The following is a 23,230-nucleotide window of genomic DNA, read 5'->3' on the forward strand; positions in this document are numbered from 1 at the left end:
TAACATCTGGCTGCCTCCTTTCCCGCTGCTCATCTTTCTCCATGTTCTGGGTTAATCAAATTTAAGTATCTTAAGTATAATAATTCCTTTTGTATTTAGGAAGCTTGCCAGCTACCAAAATATACAGACACCATTAAAAGATGAAGGTTAACAATGACAGCATCTCATAAATAAACTGTAACCACTACTCCAGAAAAGCATGATGTAGTTTCCCTGTGGGAATTCAACAAGGCAGATAAAACTGAGATGAAATTTGCTTAAGAATGAATCATAAATTGAGACAAGCAACAATTATGTGTCTGCTATCAATCCTGTGCCATTAAAAAACAATCCTCATCTGAAAGTACTTAGCCTTTAAATGAGCAAAACAAATTATAGAGAAAGAAGAGTCGTAGAGTACTGCTTTATTGCAAACTTATGAGAGAACTATAAAATCAAGTGCAAGAAAAGTAAACGAAGAATGTCAGCTCAGAGCATCAGAGTACTTATAATAAAAACAAATCTCTATAAAGCTGGATTGTTATTTGTTACAAGTGCTTGTGGAGGATTTTTGCTTGTATATTTTAATCACTTTTCCAAAGAATCCCCTCATAGGAAAAGCAGCAATGAGCTAGTGTTTGAGAAAGGCGTTAATACTTTACTTAACCCATGAGTGTGTTCAACATTAATATGGCCTTCCTTGTGATTCTATCTCTATATTTTTTCTAGGTAACTGATTATCCTTGTCAATATGGCCTTTGTTTAAAAACTGTTTCTATTTAAGTGAAAAAAATATTTGTCTCAAGGAAGAACTCTACATTAAAACAACAACAAAAAAAAAAAGAACTCTACATTACAGCATGAATTTCTATTTTTATATTTTAGAAAGAGAGTCTTGCTGTCTCATCCAGGCTGGAGTACCGTGATGTGATCATGGCTCATAGTAGCCTCAACCTCTTGGGCTCAAGTAATTTTCCCACTTCAGCCTTCCTAGTAGTCGGGACTACAGTTGTGCTCCACCACACTTGGCTAATTTTTTCTTTTTCCTTTTCTTGAAACGGAGTCTTGCTCTGTTGCCCAGGCTGGAGTACAGTGGTGCAATCGTGGCTCACTGCAACCTCTGCCTCCTGGGTTCAAGCAATTCTCCTGCCTCAGCCTCCTGAGTAGCTGGGATCCCAGGTGCCTACCACCACACCCAGCTAATTTTTGTATTTTTTGTAGAGACGGGGTTTCACCATGTTGGGCAGGCTGGTCTCAAACTCCTGACCTCGTGATCCACCCACCTCGGCCTCCCAAAGTGCTGGGATTACAGGTGTGAGCCACCGTGCCCAGCCTATTTAAAAAAATTTTTTTGTAGACACAGGATCTGGCTATACTGCCCAGGCTAGTCTTCAACCTATCCTCCCACCTTGGCCTCCTAAAGCATGAGCCACTGCACCTGGCCACAACATGGATTTTTGGAATCACTTCAGTAACTGTAATGTAACTAATATTCAGTGTGTCACTTAAATGTTCTATGGATTTTTCTAAGCAACAAAAGCTTGCCTTTACCCACAAATATATTAATAATCAAAAATGCCTTTTACCTTAAACTTAGAATAACCCATATTGTAACTGATAATATTAAAAATGCTATTACTATACCCTAAAAGTTCTTAATATTTTTGGCAAAGACATAGGTTTCTTAGTAACTCACATGAAAATCAATTAGCACGTCACTGAACACATAACTGATAACCCAGTGAATACATATATGTACACATTAGAGTGTATTAAAAATATAGAAGTTCATAGATACAGCTAACTAAATAGAAGTTCCAGATGGAGGAATAGTGTTTGGTGCTCTGTCATTACCAAATGCTGGTTACTTTGAATGTAAACAATAAAGATGTTTAACAACATCTTTAAAATATAACTACCTAATTAGAGTGCCCTTGATAGCCAATGTATATGGTACTTACTATGTGTGCTAACTGCTTGTAGACACAAAACCCTATAAATTAAGAAATACGTTATAGATGAGAAAACTGCAACTAAGAGATATTCTGTAGCTTTTCGCAACTCCAAAAATGGGATTTAAATGCAGGTTTTTCAGCATCCAGAACACACGCCCATAATCATATGCTATGCTGACTCCAACAGCAGGCACCGGGAAACTTTGAGAAAATTGCTCGTGAAATTGATACCCAGTCAAAACACTTTTAAAAAATCTTGTCTCATAAACGTACTTGTTAGTTTTTTCAAAAGAAACCAAGATGCCATATTCCTAACCAACCCAAAGAAAATGATCATACCATCGTAAACAATGCCAGTAATCACAGCAAAACCTGTTGACACAGGATCTGCTGTGTTTGTTCTTGTCCCACATGTGAACTATAAATTAGCATTTAGGTCCCATAGTCAGTTTCAGGGGGAAATCTAACTTTACAGTAAAGGATCAGGCTGATGTCACTTAAACCAGTGCTCAATTTCAGCTTCATTTGTGGGGAAAACTAGAGCTTTTCATGACTCCTGGTGAAATGCAAGATGAGAATACATTACCTGTGATGATTTCCAGACAAAATGTTTGCTTTGATCTAATCAAGCCTTTAAACCTAAACTCTAATTTTATGAATTACAAGAACCAGAAGAGTAAACTAAATGACACCAGAAGGAAAAAAATAAGACAAATTCAGAAGATGGGACAGTCTCCAAAACAACTGGCCTTGGCTCTTCAACAAATCAGCATTATGGAAAAACCAAACCAAACCAAAAAAAAACAGCAACAACAAAAAACCCAGGCCTTTCTAGAGTAAAAGACACTTAAGGAACATAATATCCAGATTGGTCTTGGACTAAATTCTGCTTCAGACAAGCCATCTGCCAAGGACACTGTAGGGGCAACTCTGAAAATTTGAATAAGATGAAGTATTAGACAATATTAAAAATGATTACCAATAATTAGTTGTGATAATGATAATTTGGCTACATAGAACAATGTTCTTATTTGTAAGAGATGCATGCTGAAGTGTTTATAGACAAAGTGTTAAAGTGTCTATATTTTACTTTAAAATACTTCAAATATAACATAGAATTTTGAAAGAGAGCCAATTATTTTTAAAAATTACAAAAAAATTGAACTGTAAAAATTGTTCAAGGTTCAACAATCATGCTCCAGTCAAGGATTATGGTTAACTGAACACAATGAACAGGGAAGAACAGGCCTCCCATCATTGGCCCCCTCAGTGCTAAATGAAATATTTTTAAATTCTGTAGTAAATGATTAACTAAATGAAATATTTTTTAAAATCTGAAGAAAATGATTAACTTTTAAAAGATCCCCCAATATAATTTTAGAGAAACTTTCAGGCTTGTTATACCAATGTTCAGAATCACTAAACAGAGGGATTAGAAGGCCTAAAATTATAATACTCCAGAATAATCCCAACTGAGGCAACCTGGAATGTTGATTTTCAGACTGCTGTTTTCATGACATAGGCTTCCTTTCCAACCCTACAGGGGAATTATCTCCTTTGTACATTAATAAATATCCTTTGTTCTAAGCACATACCTAACAAGGAAGTGCAGTTCAAAAGTTTAGACAACATTTCATGACTAGAAGTTAAATTTGAGTTACAAGCTAACAACCAGTTTTTCATCATATGGAATTTGATTAAGTCACTATAGTTTACAGTGCTGGTTACTACCTGGGAGTAACGTAAAGACTACCAATGAGAAGTAATAAAAGCTTAGATTCTTAGTGACATAAAATCAGCCTAATTCAGACACAAGCAGGTTAAACCTACAGAGTACACGTTAACTGCTCTTCAGGAAGCCTACAGCCCTACTACAAAGATCAAAAGGTAACTTGTCCCATTTGTTCAAGGAAATGTGCAATTTAAACAAACAGCACCTGCCTTTGGGTATGGAAATAATAAGATTCAAAAGTTTAAGCAAAACAAGAGTAGTAAAAACAAACCTGAGGCCCAGCTGCCTGCAGATCACTTCTGCATCGGCATCATCCCATTGGTCATCACAAACGGTTCCCCACTGGCCAGCATGGTAGAGCTCCACCCGGCCTTCATGCACACTGCTGCCTCCAGCAAGGCGAATGATGGGGAACGTTGGGCCTGTGCAATGTGAAGTTAAAAATAAGCAAAACCTATGCATTTACATTGATTGATAAGATTAGGTATATTCTATATTTTTTGCCATTCTCAATAATTAAATAATATTTATAAAGCCACACCAGTGATATGGACATACGTATATATATCTAATATATTATGGTAATCTTGGCCAATTAAAATATCCCAAATTGAATTATATGAATACAAGTAACTCTTAGGAGGAAATGTGTTTAAATTCACTTTTCCCCAACAACCTCAGAAACTAGAAAAGGCACACTCAAAAGCTGCGCATTACTGGAAATGTGTTTGATTTGTATAGTATTATGGTGGTGGCATTGATTTTTTTTTATTTACAGTAACTTGAGCATTACCAATATGTCATTATTAAGAATGACACTTATGTCTATAACATACTTGTTTTCAGTATAGAATTATCTATGCATTTGTAGAAATCAAGTCAAAGTTAATATCTAATTCGTTAAAACAAGTTGCTGGACATCATGGCCAGTACCTCAACAGAACAATATTGAAACTTCATTTGGGCATGAATCAGCTCATATCCGTTTTCGCTGATAAGGACCATCAAATGTGACTACCGTCTCATAATCTACAGCCCTGATCTAGCCCTTGTCAGACTGTGAACTTCTCTGTCTCTTCTCTGCCCTGGATAAGACAGCACACTAAGGGACTTCCTATTACATTGCCTAATTTTGTCTTCCTGAGAGTATTTACTTTTATCTAAAATTGTCACTGATTTACTGTTTACATGTCAATTGTCTCACTCCTCTTGGCTAGAATGAGGACAGAAATACTGTGTTCCTTTACACCTATGTATTTCAGGTACCTAGTATACAGAGGCATATAATAATTATTTATTGACTGCCTCAACTGACAAGCAATGCTAAATAAACCTAGAAAAGACACTCCAAACAAGAAAAAATAATTGGCAACATCTATTCATTAATTTCTGATTAACAAACAGATATCAGACATATGCCTTGTACAAGGTGTTATGATCAGTGCTGCAGGGCATTCGAAGAGACACCAGACAGACCCGGCCCTCAGGAAGTTTACTGCCTAAGGGCGTCGATAAAAGGAGTACAGACAAGAGATTATCAAAAAACCCTACAGTGGTTCAGAAGCAAAGGACCTTACTCATGGTTGGGGGTACTTAGGGAATCACTTGTGAAAAAGCTGTTTTTTTAAGAGGGCCAAGATAGATGGGATTTGGAAGTCAGAGATGAGGGAAGCATGTTCAGGCCACTTGAACATTATGAACAAAAGAAAGAAGCACAAAGCTGAATGTGTCTGGCAAAGAGTAAAGCAGTCTAATTTTACTAGAATAAAGGACGTAATATGGTAAAAATTAACAGGTTGGTCCTCTAATATGAAGTCTAGTTGTACTTTTTGCCAAATACTAATCATTTATCTGTATGAAATATGTTTCTAATTTTCCACAGTTGTAGCAGTCAGTAAACGGCATTTGGATATTCACACTTAAATTCAAATATCATATTTGAGTTTTGTACACGTGCTGCCAAAGTAAGCACTCATATTTGAGTTTTGTAGCAGAAATTTAGATTAGTGACTATCTGCATATACTGTTTACTTGCATAAGTTAACTAGCACTTACAATTTGTTAATGGATAAAGACAGGTTTAATATATATGGCTGAATGATGGTAATATAATTCTCACAAATTATGATGTTTATTTTTCCTTTAAAAAGCTTACAAAATACAGAAAAACATGTATACATTTCTTAATATATTTTTCCCCACCTGTTAAGCTTGGAGAAAACAGAAAAACAAAAATTTTTAAGAGAAAGTTGAAAACCATCTAGGACCTAGACAGTTTATGGCATAACCACCTTTCACTTTCCTATGTTGTGTTTTATTTTAAAATGTGGTTTCTTTTTCTTTTTGGATGACTGTTAAAATATAAAAAATACAGAAAAGCACAAGGACAAGATTTAGTTAACAGCCCCATCCTTCCAACAAACACAAAACTCATTTGAAAGAAAATTCAGTAAATCAATGGACTCATATTTAGCTTATAGATAATTAAACTCCCCACGTTTTCATTTAGATTGCTGCTATTTTTTGTATCCAAGTTGCATGCAATCTTCTACTTTGAAATGTTGGAAAAGCTACAAGTACAGAATGACAAGACACTAAGTGTAATTCCCAAATTTAAGGGAAGTATACTAAAGATCTATCACTATCCCTTAAGGTGAACTCAATGTTCGCTGATTTCAGCTATACAACTCCACATTCTCATTTAATCTACCACGAGAGAATCTTTTTAAATTCTCACTTCTAATTTATCATAACTTTCTATATTTTATATATGTTTATAGATGACCATAAAATTATCTTTGCAACCAGAATATAAACAGATGAATAGATTATAGAAGGTGGAAGGAGTAAAAAATGTAGATAGATATCCTGAAAAAAAATTATAATTATTTTTAAAATTTTTTACTTTACTACTTGAAAAACATTTTATCAATCAGGTTGAGCATAGAGTAAAACCAATAATCTACAAACAGCAATAAATTATTGGGCCCAGTTCACATCATCCTTGAAGCAGCATTGGATTTAGCAAAAGTAGCATTACCCAAAGGTAGAGAACCAAAAGAAGAAAAGGGAAAACTTACAAGACATCAAGGTTTAACATATGCCTCTCCCAGTCAAAAAAAAAAGGATTATAGCTCTCAGAGTATACACCTGGACTATATCCCTCCATTGGCTCTTCCAGCCAATCCAGAGGAATTACTCCAAAATGGGTCTCTCTGTTTTGTGGTAGGAGCTTCCTTATTCTTCCCCCTGATACTTGTACTCAAACAAAAACCACTGCCCTGGGCTGACTGCTACCATTCCAAGTCCTGGGATATCTGGTCATGCTGCTATCACCAAGGAAAATGCAAAAAGGGATACCATGAGAGTATGGTGGCTTCAGGTTGTGATCATTCATTAAAATACACCATGGTACCCAGAAAACTCTTTCACCATCTTAAAGGCAGTTGTTCCTTCCTCTACTTCCATGAATATAAACATATCTGTACACTGAACCCATACTGATAATTACCACATACCTACTCTATGGAACTTGGAAGAAGCCCTCATTCAAGCCAACAATCCATTTTTAGGGAAGGTGCTCTCTACAGCCCCAAGAACACTGATGCCATAATTATATTGCATTACACAAAGTGAAAATATTTTGTTGTATTTGCTGTATTCTATATTTACTTTCATGATTATTTTCCAGCTTGATTCCATCATAATTTTCCATGACTAAAATATGTGTTTCATATACAATATATTATACAGTATATATATAACCTATAGAATATACATATTTATTTAAGCAAATTATATAAAATAGAAAATATGTTAAAAATGAGATACCACTGGAAAATCAAATGGAATTCAAATTAACAGTACTCATATTGAAGACTAATTAGATGGTAAAATATTTTGACTCAGACTTATTTCTGTAATTAAAGTCTTTAAGGAAATGATTATAACTAAGACACTTTCATCATCTGGAATCACGTTTAAAACATAATGAAAGTAAAACAACAGAACTTTTTTCTTTTTTTTACCATGGGAAAAGCTACACGTGACAGCAGCTGCCATCTTCTGAGGACACACCCCACCCTGCCAGATGTCTTTTTCACAAAGCAGTATATTTTCTTCATCTCCTCGGCAACGGACATTGCTCCAATAAATGGGAATAAGGCCCAGTCCAGAAAACGGGGTTTGTTTTGCTATTCCTTTTCCTCTGGAAGTACAATGAGCGATATTAGGTTTATCAAATGTAGGCAAAACTTTTTATCAAAACATTTGGATTTGAAAAAAAATGGAAGAAATCAACAAAGATGAATATGGAAGAAACAAAGAAAGAAAGAAGAAAAACACAAAAGACTACATCAGTTTCAAGGAAATCAAAACATCAGATCACAACGTGGTTTGCCTACTTATGGAATTCTTTTCATCAATCTTAAATAACTACTTTATGTGCCTTTACCACCAATGACTGATTTAGAAGAAAATGGCCAAGTACTGCAGACATAAAAAGTAAGGCTGTGTGCAAGAGGTGTGTCACGAGCTTCAGTGAGGCTTGGACTCCAGTCTGGGCTCAGCTAAAAGTCATGCCAAGCTGCAAGTAACTCGAAGGCTTTGTCTTCTAATGTGTCAAAAGAAAAATCTGGATGCTTGAAGATTCTTTCTGACTCTAACATTCTAGGCTAGCATTTTCAAAATTATTATTACTACATCTAAGCACAATAATATCACGGGAGGCAATCCATTTATAATTTTTAAAACCTTACACTGTATATAGTATTTGCTAGCAAGCCTTTGAAACCAATTAATAACATAGCAACATGCATCTCTTTCCTAACACCAGGAGAGTATTTTTAAAAGAAAAAATGAAAATAATAGCATACAGACGGGTTCTGCTTTTAGCTCATCTAATCCACATATTTTTGTAAGTAACCTCTGCTGTGTACAAACTGGCATTAAATTTTAAAAAAGGTGAAATGCTTATCTGATTAACATGGTAATCTCTACAACTGTCTCCATGCTGCAGCATTCCATCAACCAAACTGTAAATATTTGGGGTATATCTAAAATGTAAATGTGTCTTCACAGCAATAAAGCTGGGTTTCTCTGATTTTATCGTGCAATTCCTTTTTTTTTTAAATGGACTACTGAGAGATGATACTATATAAGCAGCTGGATCAGCTTATCTGAAGTTTGTTTGCAGAATAATAGTTTACATACTTTCATCAATCAAAAGACTAATAAACCACACAGTAGTTCACACCTCCACTATAGCGTTCTTGTTTCTTTGTATCTCACAGAAAATTTTATTCCTTTCTGATTTTCCGGGGTAATAAAAGCACAAATAGGTATGTATATAAAGGAAGACATTGACATCAGCCTACAAATTTATTACATCTCTTGCCCCTCAAAGGAAAAAGCATGAAATCATCATTCTTTGTGACCTGCCCACTTGCCAATTGTCTGTTTGCCAGACTAAGTATTCATGATAAAATCAGTAATTAACATTTCCAAGCACCATAACACTTTATAGGCTCTGGCCTTACTCCTTCGTTCATCCTGATTTATATCAACTCATCAAAATAATTAATTTTAATTTACTATAATAACCCTATTTATTGCTCTAACAGCATCAAAAATCTAAGCAAAATTTAGGCCTTCAAGCTTTGCTTTTATTCAATACTCATTCCTCAGCTTCCTAGTGGTAAGACAAGAGAAATCTGGTAAATTAAAGTTCTACTTCTTCATTTTGTGTCATCATATTACCACTCTGATTATTAATGCAAAATACTTGCAAACTGCAAACCTCTTTTTCAGTCTTTTAGACTGTATTTTTTTAATAACAAAATATTTCCATGCTTTCTAAAGACCTCTGGTGATAAAGGCCAAGAAAAAACATATGTTAAGTGCGCTTAGAAAATATAAAGGAGACACAAAAACAAAAGAATAAGAAAAACAAAAATAAAACCTGTTGTCCCAAAAAGAAGCCTTCTGCTCCTGGTGAAACTCTATGGCACAAGGAATAAAGATGCTGGGACTGATGAATTCAAAATACACTGACTTGTCGTAAAGACAGTGCCTAGGGTTACAGTGGAGCCAGTTCCCAGGCTGACAGCTCCTCAGGACAGCAGGACACTGCCAGAGCTAACAGAAGCTGCCATCTTCCACAAGACCTCCTCAGCACCAAAACCTAAGGCCTGGGACATCACCACTTCCCCATCAAGGACAAGGGCACAGGTAAACATTGCCCCTTTCACACACAAATGGAACTTGTGGGTGGATAAAAGTAGAAAGGTAAAATCAAATGACAACAACAAGTTAAGGCTGTGCTAATTAATTAATTATAATTAATAATTAGAATAATTATAATTAATTCATTATAATTCTAAGAAATTATAATTTTTAGAATCAAATTCTTAGAATTTGTAAAGGCATAACTTGCTTCAAAGGCCTCTGTATTTTGTTAAAGACAAAGACCAAAAGATGCTTTTAAATTTGCCCACTTAGTATTTGCCCATTTTCCTAGTTCAGCCCAGATAGTAATATGTGAAGTACATTTGCATGTGAGAGAATTCATTTCTTCCATTTGGGGCCCTTTCTTTATAGCTCTTTTGTGAAAAGTGAGAATGAGGAAAGTGACAGTAAGAAACAAAGATACAAGCTTTACAAAGCAATGACGGGCACCCAGCATTATTCTCAAATACTAGCTGACTGATTTGGTCAGGGATGGGTACACTCACCCCAGCTGCAGCTGGTGACAAATGACTGATGCATCAGAATCATCCCAGTGGCTGCTACAGACAGTGCCCCAAACTCCACTTGCATATACTTCCACTGTGCCTTCAAACTCATTTTTGCCGCCACGAAGTCGTACTGATCCTAAAGTGGAAAAGAATCCCAAAACCCTTTAATAGTAAATAATCATTTGAACATATTGAGCCAGTCCTGGGTTAACATGATTTTTAAACTTAAGTAGTAAGGGATCCAGGCAGAATGATTTAGCCTCCACTGTGTGTGGCATGTGTTTCTTCCTTTAAGTGAGGATTTAGCAAGCTCCTTCTTTTTTGTAATTAACATCCTGACGTCAATGCTAATTATATTTTCTTTTTTATCTAGGCAAACAGACAGTCCTATTATAATTTTTTTCTTTATTCCAATATCTCCTCATCAAGAAGCAACCACTGTAATTTTCAAAGGGGGAAAAAGTGGAAGAATGACTAATATCAGATCTTGTATCTCAAATAATAGATTACATCACATATGAAGTTTTTATCATTTATTACCTTCCTCTTCTCATGAGGTCATCAATAAGAAACACAGAAACAAAATTAAATGTTCTGCATATGAATTAGCTGTAATTAGCTGTGTTATATCTTCCATTTGATTTGTTCATCCACTAAGGAAAAATAAAATGTGTTTTCCCCTTTTAACTTTCAGTAGTAGTCATTAAAATTCTGAAGATTATGTCCATAATCTTCATTTTGAAAATACTGCCTAATGCTAGTCTTGGAAAAATAGCCACTAGGTAGTATGTATAATTGAATGCCCCTGGAAACTCACCTCCTCTAATATACCACACCCAAAGAGCTGTCCCAAAGTCCACAATTTAAGTCATTCCTTTCAGTCTTTAAAAGAGCCAAGATTTAAATTCAAGCACCCTTAGGAAAGATAACACTTTGGTCTTATTCCTTAAGTGTGGTTCAAAGACCTACATTCCTCTTCTCATTGGGACTGGTTCCAGAGCAGGCACTGGGAGGTAGCAAGTGGGACAACTGAGCAGAGACAGAATTAACCTCAGACAACTTAAGAATTGCATAAAATTCTGTTTAAAATCACCTACAATGGCCTTTCACAGGTAAGAAAATTAAGAAATTAATTTAAAAAATCAATCCTACCCAAAAAATCTAGCATAATTTGCATATTTCAAAGTTATGTATGGCTTCATAATAACTTCCAAAAATATTAGATTCACAAAGTATCCATTCATTTCATTTGTACAGGCTTAGTCATCCACCACTATTATTTTCCACATCATCATCCTTTAAAAATGTAAGCATTTAAGAAAAACATATTATATTTCTCACGACAAAAACAAAGTCTCATTTAATTCAAACAAAAGGCAATAATAAATGGAGGTGAGCATTGTACAGTACTGCCAAATCCTGACTATTCAGGAATGAACAGGGCATGGGTCATTCATATGACAAATCATCTAAAACTCATTCATATATTCTAAACTTCTTTAATTCACAGTAAGCAAGAGGAAGTCCTGCCTAGCTCAGTGAAGTATGAACTACAGAATATTTTTAAGGAAGTATTTCTGAAGAGTTCAACTGATCTTTAATGATTTTTTATATCACAAAATCTCTTCTACAGAGGTCCACGTAATATTATGCACATCACAAATGCCAGCAGTTTATTTTAGTCAAAGAATTCATTTGTTGACCTCAAGCAAACTTTATTTGAACTGATATTTAATCTATTATTTCTTTACTAATTCCTCCCCTTAATCACGAAGTTACTCAGGTCAAAAGGGCTGGAAGATAGTTCTAGTAATGAAAACAAACGAAATGTGTACTTATGCACATTAAGTGATCATAAGATTTAAAATAGTGTCTACATCAAAAAGCTATCAAGAAGAAATGATGTACACATGAATCTAAATGATTGAGGCACTTAGAGGTGAGAAGGAGAAAATCCTGAGTAAAGTATAATTATGACCATAACAATATAATAGCAATGATAGAGCTGGAAATAGTTTCCAGGTCAACTATCAGCTGCACCATCATTTTCTCTAACGCTCCAAGCACACTGTGAAAGCCTGGATTCATTTAGCAGTATCTGCTATATGGCAAGAAATGTGCAGTGCTCATCCAATTTTCCTTTAACAAATGAAGACAAATATTTGCAATTCTTAAAAGGCAATTTGCATGTCAATGACTAATGAATTCTATGTCAGATTCCACTCCAGGCACAGCCAGCCCCAACACACACCTTCCTAACAGTGTCCTCCACATGGTTTATCCTTTCCTAAGGGCCATAAAAATGTCTATTCGGAGGAAACCATCTACCTAGGACTCAGAATGAGTATTTATATCATTCTATAAAGCTCAATTCTTCTAATAATTATTTGAAACAACTTTTTTAAAAACAGCATTCAAATATGCTCTAAAAGACTAAAAGTTTGAACACACGATTCATTCTATTGTAGGAGCCAAGAGCACTTTCTCTGCCTTCTGAAGGTTCACTGACAAGAGGCATACTATTAGGATAAAAGGCATATAAATTTATTTGATCGTGGTTTTACGTGACGTGGGAGCCTTTAGAATGAGGACCCAAAGCTATAGGAGATACTGCCCATTTTTATGTTCAGGTTTAACAAAGTGTGGTCAGCCACGTAGAAATATGTTTGGACAAAATGGGTAGGATCTAATCTCAATAGACTGAGTGGGGAAACCCAGTAAGGCTTATCAGTTTAGATTTTTCTTGGCCTCTTTGAGTTTTGTTTTGTTTTTTTCTGGGTATGGAGAAGAACCCTCTCTGGAATGGGGGTCTTATGTAATCAAACAAGGTAGGTCAGATAAATTTTTAAGGCCAGTTTTTACACAGAAAGCTGGGACATGAGGGGAGTTGAGTAATATTTTTAGGTTTTATGGCTGATTGTGGAAACAAGGGGTTCTGGTGTCTATGGCCCACCTTGGAAAAGAGGAATTCTAGTTTCTGCGGCTAGCCTCAGGGGAAAATGAAGGGCCAGTGACAGGAAAGTAGGAAAAGATCAAAGGAAAACTTGTTTCTGAGACTACTTCTGAGGCCTTCATTTGGTGATATCATTTTCTGAGACCCAACACTATATACATTTAAGATAAGTAGTAGTTTTCATTTGTTTTCTGGCTTTATTTTGTTATTGCTGCATTTATTCTCTTAGAAAAGCTGAGGTGGTCCAGATCTTAAAAACTATAATTTATGGCTGGACACAGTGGCTCACGCCTGTAATCCCAGCACTTTGGGAGGCCGAGGTGGGTGGATCACCTGAGATTGAGAGTTCGAGACCAGCCTGACCAACATGGAGAAACCCCGTCTCTACTAAAAATACAAAATTGGCCAGGCATGGTAGCACATGGCTGTAATCCCAGCTACTTGGGAGGCTGAAGCAGGAGAATCACTTGAACCCGGGAGGCTGAGGTTGCGGCGAGCCGAGATCTCACCACTGCATTCCAGCCTGGGCAACAAGAGCAAAACTCCATCTCAAAAGCAAGCTAACCACAACAACAACAACAAAACTATAACTTATTTCCTTCTACTTATGGATGAAAAAGCTACAGACCAAAGCAACTGAGCAGTTACAGAGCCATGATCAACTATCTCCTAGTTCCCTGCCCTGGTTACTGACCTTCTACCTCCAAACTTAAGCAAAGACCCTGAAATACAATAAGTACCTTTCAAAACTTCAGATATTACTTTATGCATTATACCATGTTAGAGTTCACCATCCTACTGAAAATACTGCAACTAATCCACCAAATCTTGTATGGAAATAAGCCAACTAGGAAGAGAAGCATAAAGTAGCCTGAAGTTTCTTTACACCGTGGAACAGGAGAGAAGTGGCTTTCTGGTGCTCCTATAGTTGACGCAAATCCTCCAGTAGAAGCTGATTTGTCCCACAGCTGTACAAAGTTGTAGGAGGACTATGAACGTGTGGGTGTACACATTTGCACAAATGTATAGGTACACAATTACACAATGGAGAAAGGAAAATAACCTTAGCTCAAAGAAATCCGCAAAGCCCAAAGCTAACCAAGTGAACTAATTTCTATTGCTGTACCTAACAATAAAGTGATTTGCATAAATTGTAGACGAAATTCTTTGTTTGGCAAATATTGTTCAATTGTCCAATTTTTTATTATCAAGAATTGATCCCTCACCTTCCGCCCACATTCTCCTAGAGCAACCAACCATTCTTCGATACTCTAGTCAGAGCTTGTGTCCCTGGACCACACCGGAGTGTGTGTGATCCAGCGTTGCACTGTCTTAAAGTCTCTCAAGTGCCACGTGCACAGAAAATATTCTATTCTACATATTTCTATCTTTAAAATGCGTTAAGAATAATAATTTAAAGTCTCAAGCAGAGGTTTTAGGTCAATTATATTAAGCATTATAAACATGCAGACCAAACTAGTAAAGGAAGAAAGTCTGGAATTGTACCACTATGCGTGATGGCATGTCATGCAGTGGAGGCCCCAGAGTTCCTGAAATGAACGGCTACCAAAAAAGAAAAAGGTCAACTGTCTGCTGGTGTTATAACTATTTAAAGGCAAAATGTTCCAATGTACAACAATGTTCAGAATTCTACTATCTTAATTCCTTGATAAAAATGTTTAACTGTTAAACATTTACAGTAAAATAGTTTACAACTGTTTTCCTTCTAAGTACATAGGCCTCCAGTTTTATAAAGGAAAGAAAACATAAAAGGTTCATGTAACAGAAATTTGCTTGATGGACAACTTCGCTAGAAAACAGGAATTCCCCAAATAGAGGGACAGGCATTCAAGAAGAGTTCTCTTTAACCATCTTATCAGTCTCAGTCAATACAGGTAAACTAGAGAACAGCAGACTGGATAAAAATTCCCTTCACAAGTCTCATTGGTTTCTGAGCTTTAAGATTTAAGACTAAGGCAAGGCACAGTGCCTCACACCTGTAATCCCAGCACTTTGGGAGGCCAAGGCAGGAGGACTGTTTGAGCCCTGGGGTTAGAGATCGGCCTAGACAACAGAGTGAGACACTGTCTTTACAAAAAAAAAAAAATTAAAAATTAGCCGGGCTTGGTGGCCCACGTGTGTAGTCCCAGCTACTCAGGCTACTAAGGCGGAAGGATTGCTTGTACCCAGGAGTTCAAGACTGCAGTGAGCTATAATTGTGCTACTGCATTCCAGTCTAGGTGACAGAGCAAGACCCTGTCTCAAAAAACAAAAAACAAAAACAAAAGCAAAACAACCTTCCTTTCCATATTCCATATGTGAAGGAAACCTAAAAGAAATAGGAGAAAAGGAACCAAATGAGTCAACTATCTTCATTCTATATACCCAGCTTATTCCAAAATAAAGCAAATGAAAAGATATCCCTGTTCAGCCTGGATAACATAGCAAGACCCCACCTCTACAAAAAATTTTAAAATTAGCTGGGCGTGGTGGCCCAGGCCTGTAATCCCAGCTACTTGGGAGGCTGAGGCAAATGATCGCTTGAGCCCAAGCATTCAAGGTTACGATGAGCTATGACTGTGCCACTATACTCCAGCCTGAGCAACAAAGAAAGACCCTGTGGGGGGAAAAAATGCATGCCTGCCTATTTAGTTAACCCCTCATTAAAATGTACTTATAAAATAGCATTCCTTAATTTAAAGAGAAAGAAAATGCAGTAAAAACAAAGACCCACCCCAATAGTGTTTTCTGAATAAAACTAGTAATAAATATTTTTAAAATCTTTTTTTAAAAAATCACAGTTTGATAAAAGAGTAAAAAAAAACTTCACGTTTTCACACAAATCCTTTCTTGTCTATTATTGAACTTTACAGATGCATAAAATAATTAGTTTTAGTCATTTCTATTGTTCTAGTGGAATAGAAAGAATGCATACTGGCAACATCCAGCTAGTGTTCAGATCCTTGACAAAAAGTACACTTAAAGCTGTGAGTGATACAGAAATTTCAATTTATGACCTATTCAAAAGAATAGAAAAAAACCATTACATGTTGAACAATTTAGTACACATATTTGACATTAAGTTAAATATAATACTATGTCTTATACCAAATGCAACACTATAAAAATATACTAAATGACCATTCTCTATCAATTATAAAATATATTTAAAAAATTACAGTACCTGAAAACAACTGAATTGGGGGACTCTTGGTTGAATTTTTCAAGTACAGTAGGGGATGCTAGGTTAATTTTTATGTTATTTTCTTTCTTCACTATATTCTACAGTACTAAGTTATACTATTTTCATCTATAATTATATTTACCTGTTAATTAAACCTGCTATATCTTTGCTAAATAGTATATTTTATTCAAGTCATCCCAGGTCAAAATGAATCAAATCATTTTTAACATACAAGGCATTCCCCTGAACCAAGATCCAACTGAGCTATATTTGCCTCCATTAGTTCACATCTATAATTCATACTAATTGTTCATTTATTATTCATGTATACAACAACTTAAATGCTGAGAAAAAAAATCAGTTGGTATAGTTCAAAATGAGAGTGCATCCCCTAAGTTAGCAATTCTACCCATTTACAGTGTGCTGATTAGAAATTTATAAATCTTATAAATTATTCCTTAGTTTAAAACATTATATGATATCAAACAAAAAAAGATGACTCTGTCCATGGTTAAGCTATAGTAGGCTAACAATACATGCATATAACCTCAACAGAAGCTTTCACAAATTGTGTGTCCCCAGACCATCTACACATAAACAAATGGTATGGGTATTACCATTTTATTGCATAGCAGTGAGTGATGAAATTGAAACCAAACAATAATCTTCTTGTCTCCCAGATCATGCACCACAGGGAAGGTAATGAAAATGCTTATTATTCTTCTGACACCTCACCCAGAAAATGGCTGTCCTCAACCAGAGGACAAAGGTGAATTTCTGATTCATCTTTATAAATGCTGCACCTAGTGTGAATGCAGTAAATGTTTAAGGAATAAATGAAACCTATCCTTACCCTGTTAGAAGAACCAGCATTACACTTTGTATCCCCTCTGCTGATCCTAATAAAAAGTACTGAGGCTAAATGTGCATGTGTGGCTTGTAGGGGGGTAAATATCATTGCTTTAGTGTTTTGCATACAATAATTTTTTTATTAATATTGTTGCACTGATTTGTAAGAAGGAGGAGGAGGGGAAGAGGAGACTGCCCTGGAAAAGGAAGATGCTAAAGGGGCAAAAATAAACACTTCTTTAGTTTCTAATGACAACAGACCAACCATGTAAACATCAGTCTAAATCAATTGTTCATATAATGCCTATTTACTATGCAGCTAAGGAGAGAGGCTTCAAAGGACTGCTTTCTTTAAAATTTAATTCAGGGGGAAAAAACCTTCAAAATTAGAATTAAATCATATAATCATGTTTACTTAATAAATGAACTAACTTCAGCATTCTCATCAATTATGGAATTATTCATTTCAGATATAAATGCGTCATAATATTTGCCTGCAAATAGCATCTTAAGACAAGGAAATATGCTTTGTCAACCAAACCAGAGTCTAAATGTTATTCATCCAGATATGACTAAAAAAAAATGAATGTAACATTTTACAGCACTTTATAAATTACTTACTGTTATTTTTTAATTGCATTAAGTTTCCCAAATATAAGGACAAGTCCCAACCATACTCCTTAGCAAACCCTTTTGGTTCTGATCAACAACTACCTTGTTTCCTCCTTGCCAGTTGAATCCCCAGATGATTCAGAGGTTAAGCTAACTAATCTATGTAATCATGGTAATTGTACATTTCTTTCCAAAGAGTGTCAGGAAGGAACATGTGATCCAGTCTGGGCAAATGAAATGTGGAAGTCTGTGGGGGAAATTCCAGAAAGGTTTCCTTGTTTCAAAAGGACATTCCTGCAGAGGGGCTCTCTTCCTTCTGCAGATTGTTCTATCTCTAAGTGAAGCCTGGAATAACCACCAGCCTAAGAATAAAGGCCACGCTTCTGAAGAGGATAGAGGAGCCAAGAAAGTAGCAGAGGAACAGAAGTGTACCATGCTGGAGTCTGCCCATCACATGGACTTCTTGTAATAGGAACAATAAGCCTCCTTATTGTTTCCGTTTTCTATTCTTTGCTATCAAAACCACCCAAATTGATTCAAGACACATCCACACCCAAATTCATAATTATCATGTTTTCTTCCAAATCTTCCAAAAGCATCTTTATTTTCACAGTCATAATGTATTATATATAAATTTCATACCCTTCTTTCCCCTAAACACTATCGTAAACACTTTCCTATTTATATATATATATATATAATATTTACAATAATTATTTTAGTATCTGCATAATATCCATCAAATGCAGGTACCTGTGAGTAGTACCTTATTACTGGATATTTCATTTTCCCTTCAGTTATAAACCAAATTACTTTTACATAGGTTATCTTATCACAGGGGGCCCCAACCCCCAGGCTGCCCAGCAGGAGGTGACCAGGAGGTGAGCAAGTGAAGCTTTATCTGTATTTACAGCCACTCCCCATCGCTCACATTACCACCTGAGCTCTGCCTCCTAAGCTCTGCCTCCTATCAGATCAGCAGCAGCATTAGATTCTCCTAGGAGCTCGAACTCCATTGCGAACTGTGCATGCAAGGAATCTAGGTTGCATGCTCCTTATGAGAATCTAATGCCTGATGAAACCATCCCCCAGGTCCACGGAAAAACTGCCTTCCACAGAACTGGTCCCTGGTGCCAAAAAGGTTGGGGACTGGTGTCTTAACACATAGGCGCACACATGCGTGTGCATGCATGCACACATGCACACACACACACACAGACAGTGACCACATAAGTAAATATACACCCCTGGACAATAGCTCATAAAAGGCAATAGTAACGGGATATCTTATTGTCTTCTCTAAAAAAAAAAAAATATGCACACTAGTTAAGAAATCAGATAATGCCCCCAAATCTAAGTATTTGACATCTGCCTTAGTCTGAAAAGCAGATTGAGCTCAATATTTAAAATCAACCAGGAAATGTATCAAATCTGGTATTGCTAATAAATGTTTTTCAGCACCTGCTACATAGAACCAAGATGTAGCCCTTAAAAGTGGCGGGGGACAGCTTTCAGCTAACTTTTTAATTAACACTCACTACAAACAACAGATGGAATTCAATGAGTACAGCCTGTAAACAATAGTACTTGGTCCACATGTCCTCTATCTCTATTTCAATCAAGAGATTTTGGGTGGGTAGGTGCACATGAACAGAGGAGCATGACAAGACAAAAAGTCAGATCTCTTGACTCATCCTCTCCTCCAGAATCTCAATGATTAAAACTTTCTCATTTATTTAATGTTTTACCTCTCAATCATCAGCCACCTATGGTTGGCTTGTAAAAAAGGGAGGCTCTCAGCACAGTGTCAAGCAAGTTGCCCCATCTGCTATGCCAACCAGAGACTAGAAAAGTGACTGCCCCTCCTAGGCAGGAAACACTAAGTTATTGCAATCTATCGTGTTTTGTTGTGTTTGTTTTGCTTGTTTTAGAGACAGGGTCTCCCTCCGTTGCCCAGAATGGGGTGCAGTGTCATGACTATAGCTCACTGCAGCCTCTATCTCCTGGCCTCAAGTGATCCCCTTGCCCCAGCCTCCTAAAGTGCTGCGATTTCAGGCATGAGCCACCATGCTGGGTCACAAGCTATTGTTGGGGGAAATCAGTTGCCTGTTAATTCTTCCTGTAGAAATGCAAAAATAACCTAGCTCACATTCAATTAATAACCATATTCTGGGCAGCCATGGTAGCTCATGCCTGTAATTCCAGTACTCTGGGAGGCCAAGGCGGGAGAATCACTTGAGCCCAGGAGTTGGAGACCAGCCTGGGCAACATGGCAAAACTCCATCTCTACAAACAATACAAAAAATAATAATAATAAATTAGCTGGACTGTAGTCCCAGCTACTTCAGAGGCCAAGGTGGGAGAATTGCTTGATCCTGAGAGGCAGAGGTTGCAGTGAGCTGAGATGGCACAAATGCATTTTGTCTCAAAAAATAAAAATAAAATAACCATATTCCAGTGAACTAGGTTATTACTATCTTACACTGGTCAAATAAAAAACCAGAAGTGTCATTTCTAAAATTACACAAAAAGTTAACATTGGCATGCCTTACACCTGCTCCTAAAGCCTAACAGGGTTAAGTCACAGAATGGTGGGCTCAGTTAGTCTATATCATCACCTACCACTATACATTTTAGGTGGGTTCTAATGCCCTTCCATGTGTTCTGCCTGACTGTGACAGAGTTTTCAGCATCTAAATCACTTTGACTGCTCAATAGAAATGCATGTTCCATTCCTGATCCAGAACTGAGAATTACTCAGAGCCTGGGCTACAGTCTAGGAATCTGCATTTTAACAAGTCCCAAGGTGTTTCTAAATGCTCATAATGAGACCAGCTCCCTGGGCTGATTCAGTGTATTCCCATAGCCAGAATGATTCTTTTTTTTTTTTTTGAGACAGAGTTTCGCTCTTGTTGCCCAGACTGGAGTGCAATAGCGTGAGTTCGGCTCACTACAACCTCTGCCTCCCAGGTTCAAGCGATTCTCCTGCTTCAGCCTCCCAAGTAGCTGGGATTACATGCATGTGCCACCATGCCTGGCTAATTTTGTATTTTTAGTAGAGACAGGGGTTTCTCCACATTGGTCAGCCTGGTCTCGAACTCCCGACCTCAGGTGATCCACCTGCCTCAGCCTCCCAAAGTGCTAGGATTACAAGCGACAGCTACCGCGCCCAGCCCTAGAATGATTCTTTAGTATTAATTTGCAAGTTTCATAAAACCAGGGCCCAGGTATCATGTTTCCTGCTCTCTGACATCTGAGCCACTGGAACATCCACGCCCAGCCCTGGCTCACCTGAGGTCCCCACCCTGCCCCTTCAACTTGGCTTCAATCAACTCTTCACCATGGAGACACCAACTTCCTCATTTTTCTCAATGCAATGAAATATGTGACTCTGGCCAGCAGTGTATTTTTTAAAGGAGGGATCACATTACTGTAAATTGTTATTTTCTTTTGCCCTGGATTTCTTTAAAGAAAAAAATATGTCGGGCATGGTAGCTCTTGCCTGTAATCCCAGCACTTTGGGAGGCTTAGGCAGGAGAATCGTTTGAACCCAGGAGGCAGAGGTTGCAGTGCACTGAGATTGCGCCACTGCGCTCCAGCCCGGGTGACAGAGAGAGAACCTATCTCAAAAAAAAAAAAAACAAAGAAAAAGATACCAGATATCTTTTAAGCATAAGAGACTGTAAATCATGTGCATCAGGCCAAACATAATTCCCTTTCTTCCTGTTAGACTAGTCCATAAACTACAAAATGAGGATTACTACACAATGCAGATATTTCTACATGTGTATATGTAAGTAAAGAAATACAGCAAAATCAGCTGTGAAGTAAAAATACACATATCTAACCCTATTTTCTCCTATACTCCTCATAATATGTCTTCACATATTTTCATCAGTAAAATGCAGGAACTCACTCAGAAGGTTGCTACAAGAATGAAATGAGGCCGGGAGCGGTGGCTCACACCTGTAATCCCAGCACTTTGGAAGGCAGAGGCGGGTGGATGGCCTGAGGTCAGGAATTCAAGACCAGCCTGGCCAACATGGTGAAACCCCATCTCTACTAAAAATACAAAAATTAGCCGGGCGTGGTGGCAGGTGCCTGTAATCCCAGTTACTCAAGAGGCTGAGGCAGGAGAATCGCTTGAACCAGGGAGGCGGAGGTTGCAGTGAGCTGAGATTGCACCACTGCACTCCAGCCTGGGTGACAGACGAAGACCCTTGTCAAAAAATAAATAAATAAATAAAAATAAAAGAATGAAATGAGAAAATGCACATAAAATGTTCAGTCCAGCATCCAACACAGAATGAATGCACAGTAAGTCCTAGCTACTATGATCAGGCCAGGTTGTTTTGCGTACATGCTCAGCGCTGCAAAGGTCTTTTAAATTAATTTACTCAAAACTTGCGTTTCTCCTGATGAGGAAACCAAAGCTCTAAGAGTTAAGAGTCTTACCCAACAGTGCACAGCTACTGGCAGAGCCAAAACAGACACCAGTGTTTTCTAAAGCACAATTCAATATTCTTTTCACCACTCCATGATACTTTTGTTCACACCCCTAATTGAAATGTAGGACCAAGAGAGCCGTAACGTTCAGAATATGCCACTCATCTCAAAGCTATAGGTTATGCCCAAGCAGACTGGAGAAGTAAATGATAGAATGAGATTGAGTCTGTGAAAGTAATTCATTATTACACAGTTGATCGTTTTCCTATTTTTTTGTGGTGGTGGGAAGGGCATTTATCTCCCATCTTGAGTGGTTTCTTTTGTTTCTCTTTTGTTCAATCACTTTACTCCAGGAAGTACAAATAACTATTATGCAGTATTTGGGATTTTGTCTGGTGAGAGTTAGCTAGGAACATAAAGGCATTCAAAAGATTTACATTTCTAGTCAACTGAAGAAGGTGAGGTGGCAGGAAATCCAAGGACAAGTTACTCTCCATGTCTGAAACATAAGGCTGAGTTATGTCAGAAAGAGAGCAACAGATCACTATCATTTTTTAACTTTAAATTACTTTTCTTGAGTCTGTGCTTATGTACTTAAAGAGAAGTTGTATATTCTCTCCTACACATTCATTCTCTAATAATTCTCTGCTCTTATCTATTTATAAAACTAAGAATAATATGAAGATGAAAAAAGTCAATGTTTGCTAAACCTAAGATTTTACTATAATCTCTTATGGTGAATAACGAGACAATGCTAGCACTCTTTGTTTGACATCACCTCAAATT

General features: G+C 36.9%; 1 protein-coding gene across 4 annotated transcripts in view; it reads right to left on the reverse strand.

Moving 5' to 3' along the window:
* PRSS12 (serine protease 12) overlaps positions 1-23,230 on the reverse strand; it is a 72,966-nt gene that overhangs the window by 47,741 nt on the left and 1,995 nt on the right. For all 4 annotated transcript variants that reach the window (NM_001440549.1, NM_003619.4, NM_001440550.1 and 1 more), the window contains exons 2-4: positions 10,398-10,536; positions 7,695-7,873; positions 3,938-4,088 (exon numbers count right to left, since the gene is read on the reverse strand). In NM_001440549.1, coding sequence (NP_001427478.1) covers positions 3,938-4,088; positions 7,695-7,873; positions 10,398-10,536 — 469 coding nt within the window. The remainder of the gene's footprint in view (positions 1-3,937; positions 4,089-7,694; positions 7,874-10,397; positions 10,537-23,230) is intronic.

Source organism: Homo sapiens, chromosome 4, assembly GCF_000001405.40.
Source record: "Homo sapiens chromosome 4, GRCh38.p14 Primary Assembly".
Lineage (NCBI taxonomy): Eukaryota > Metazoa > Chordata > Mammalia > Primates > Hominidae > Homo > Homo sapiens.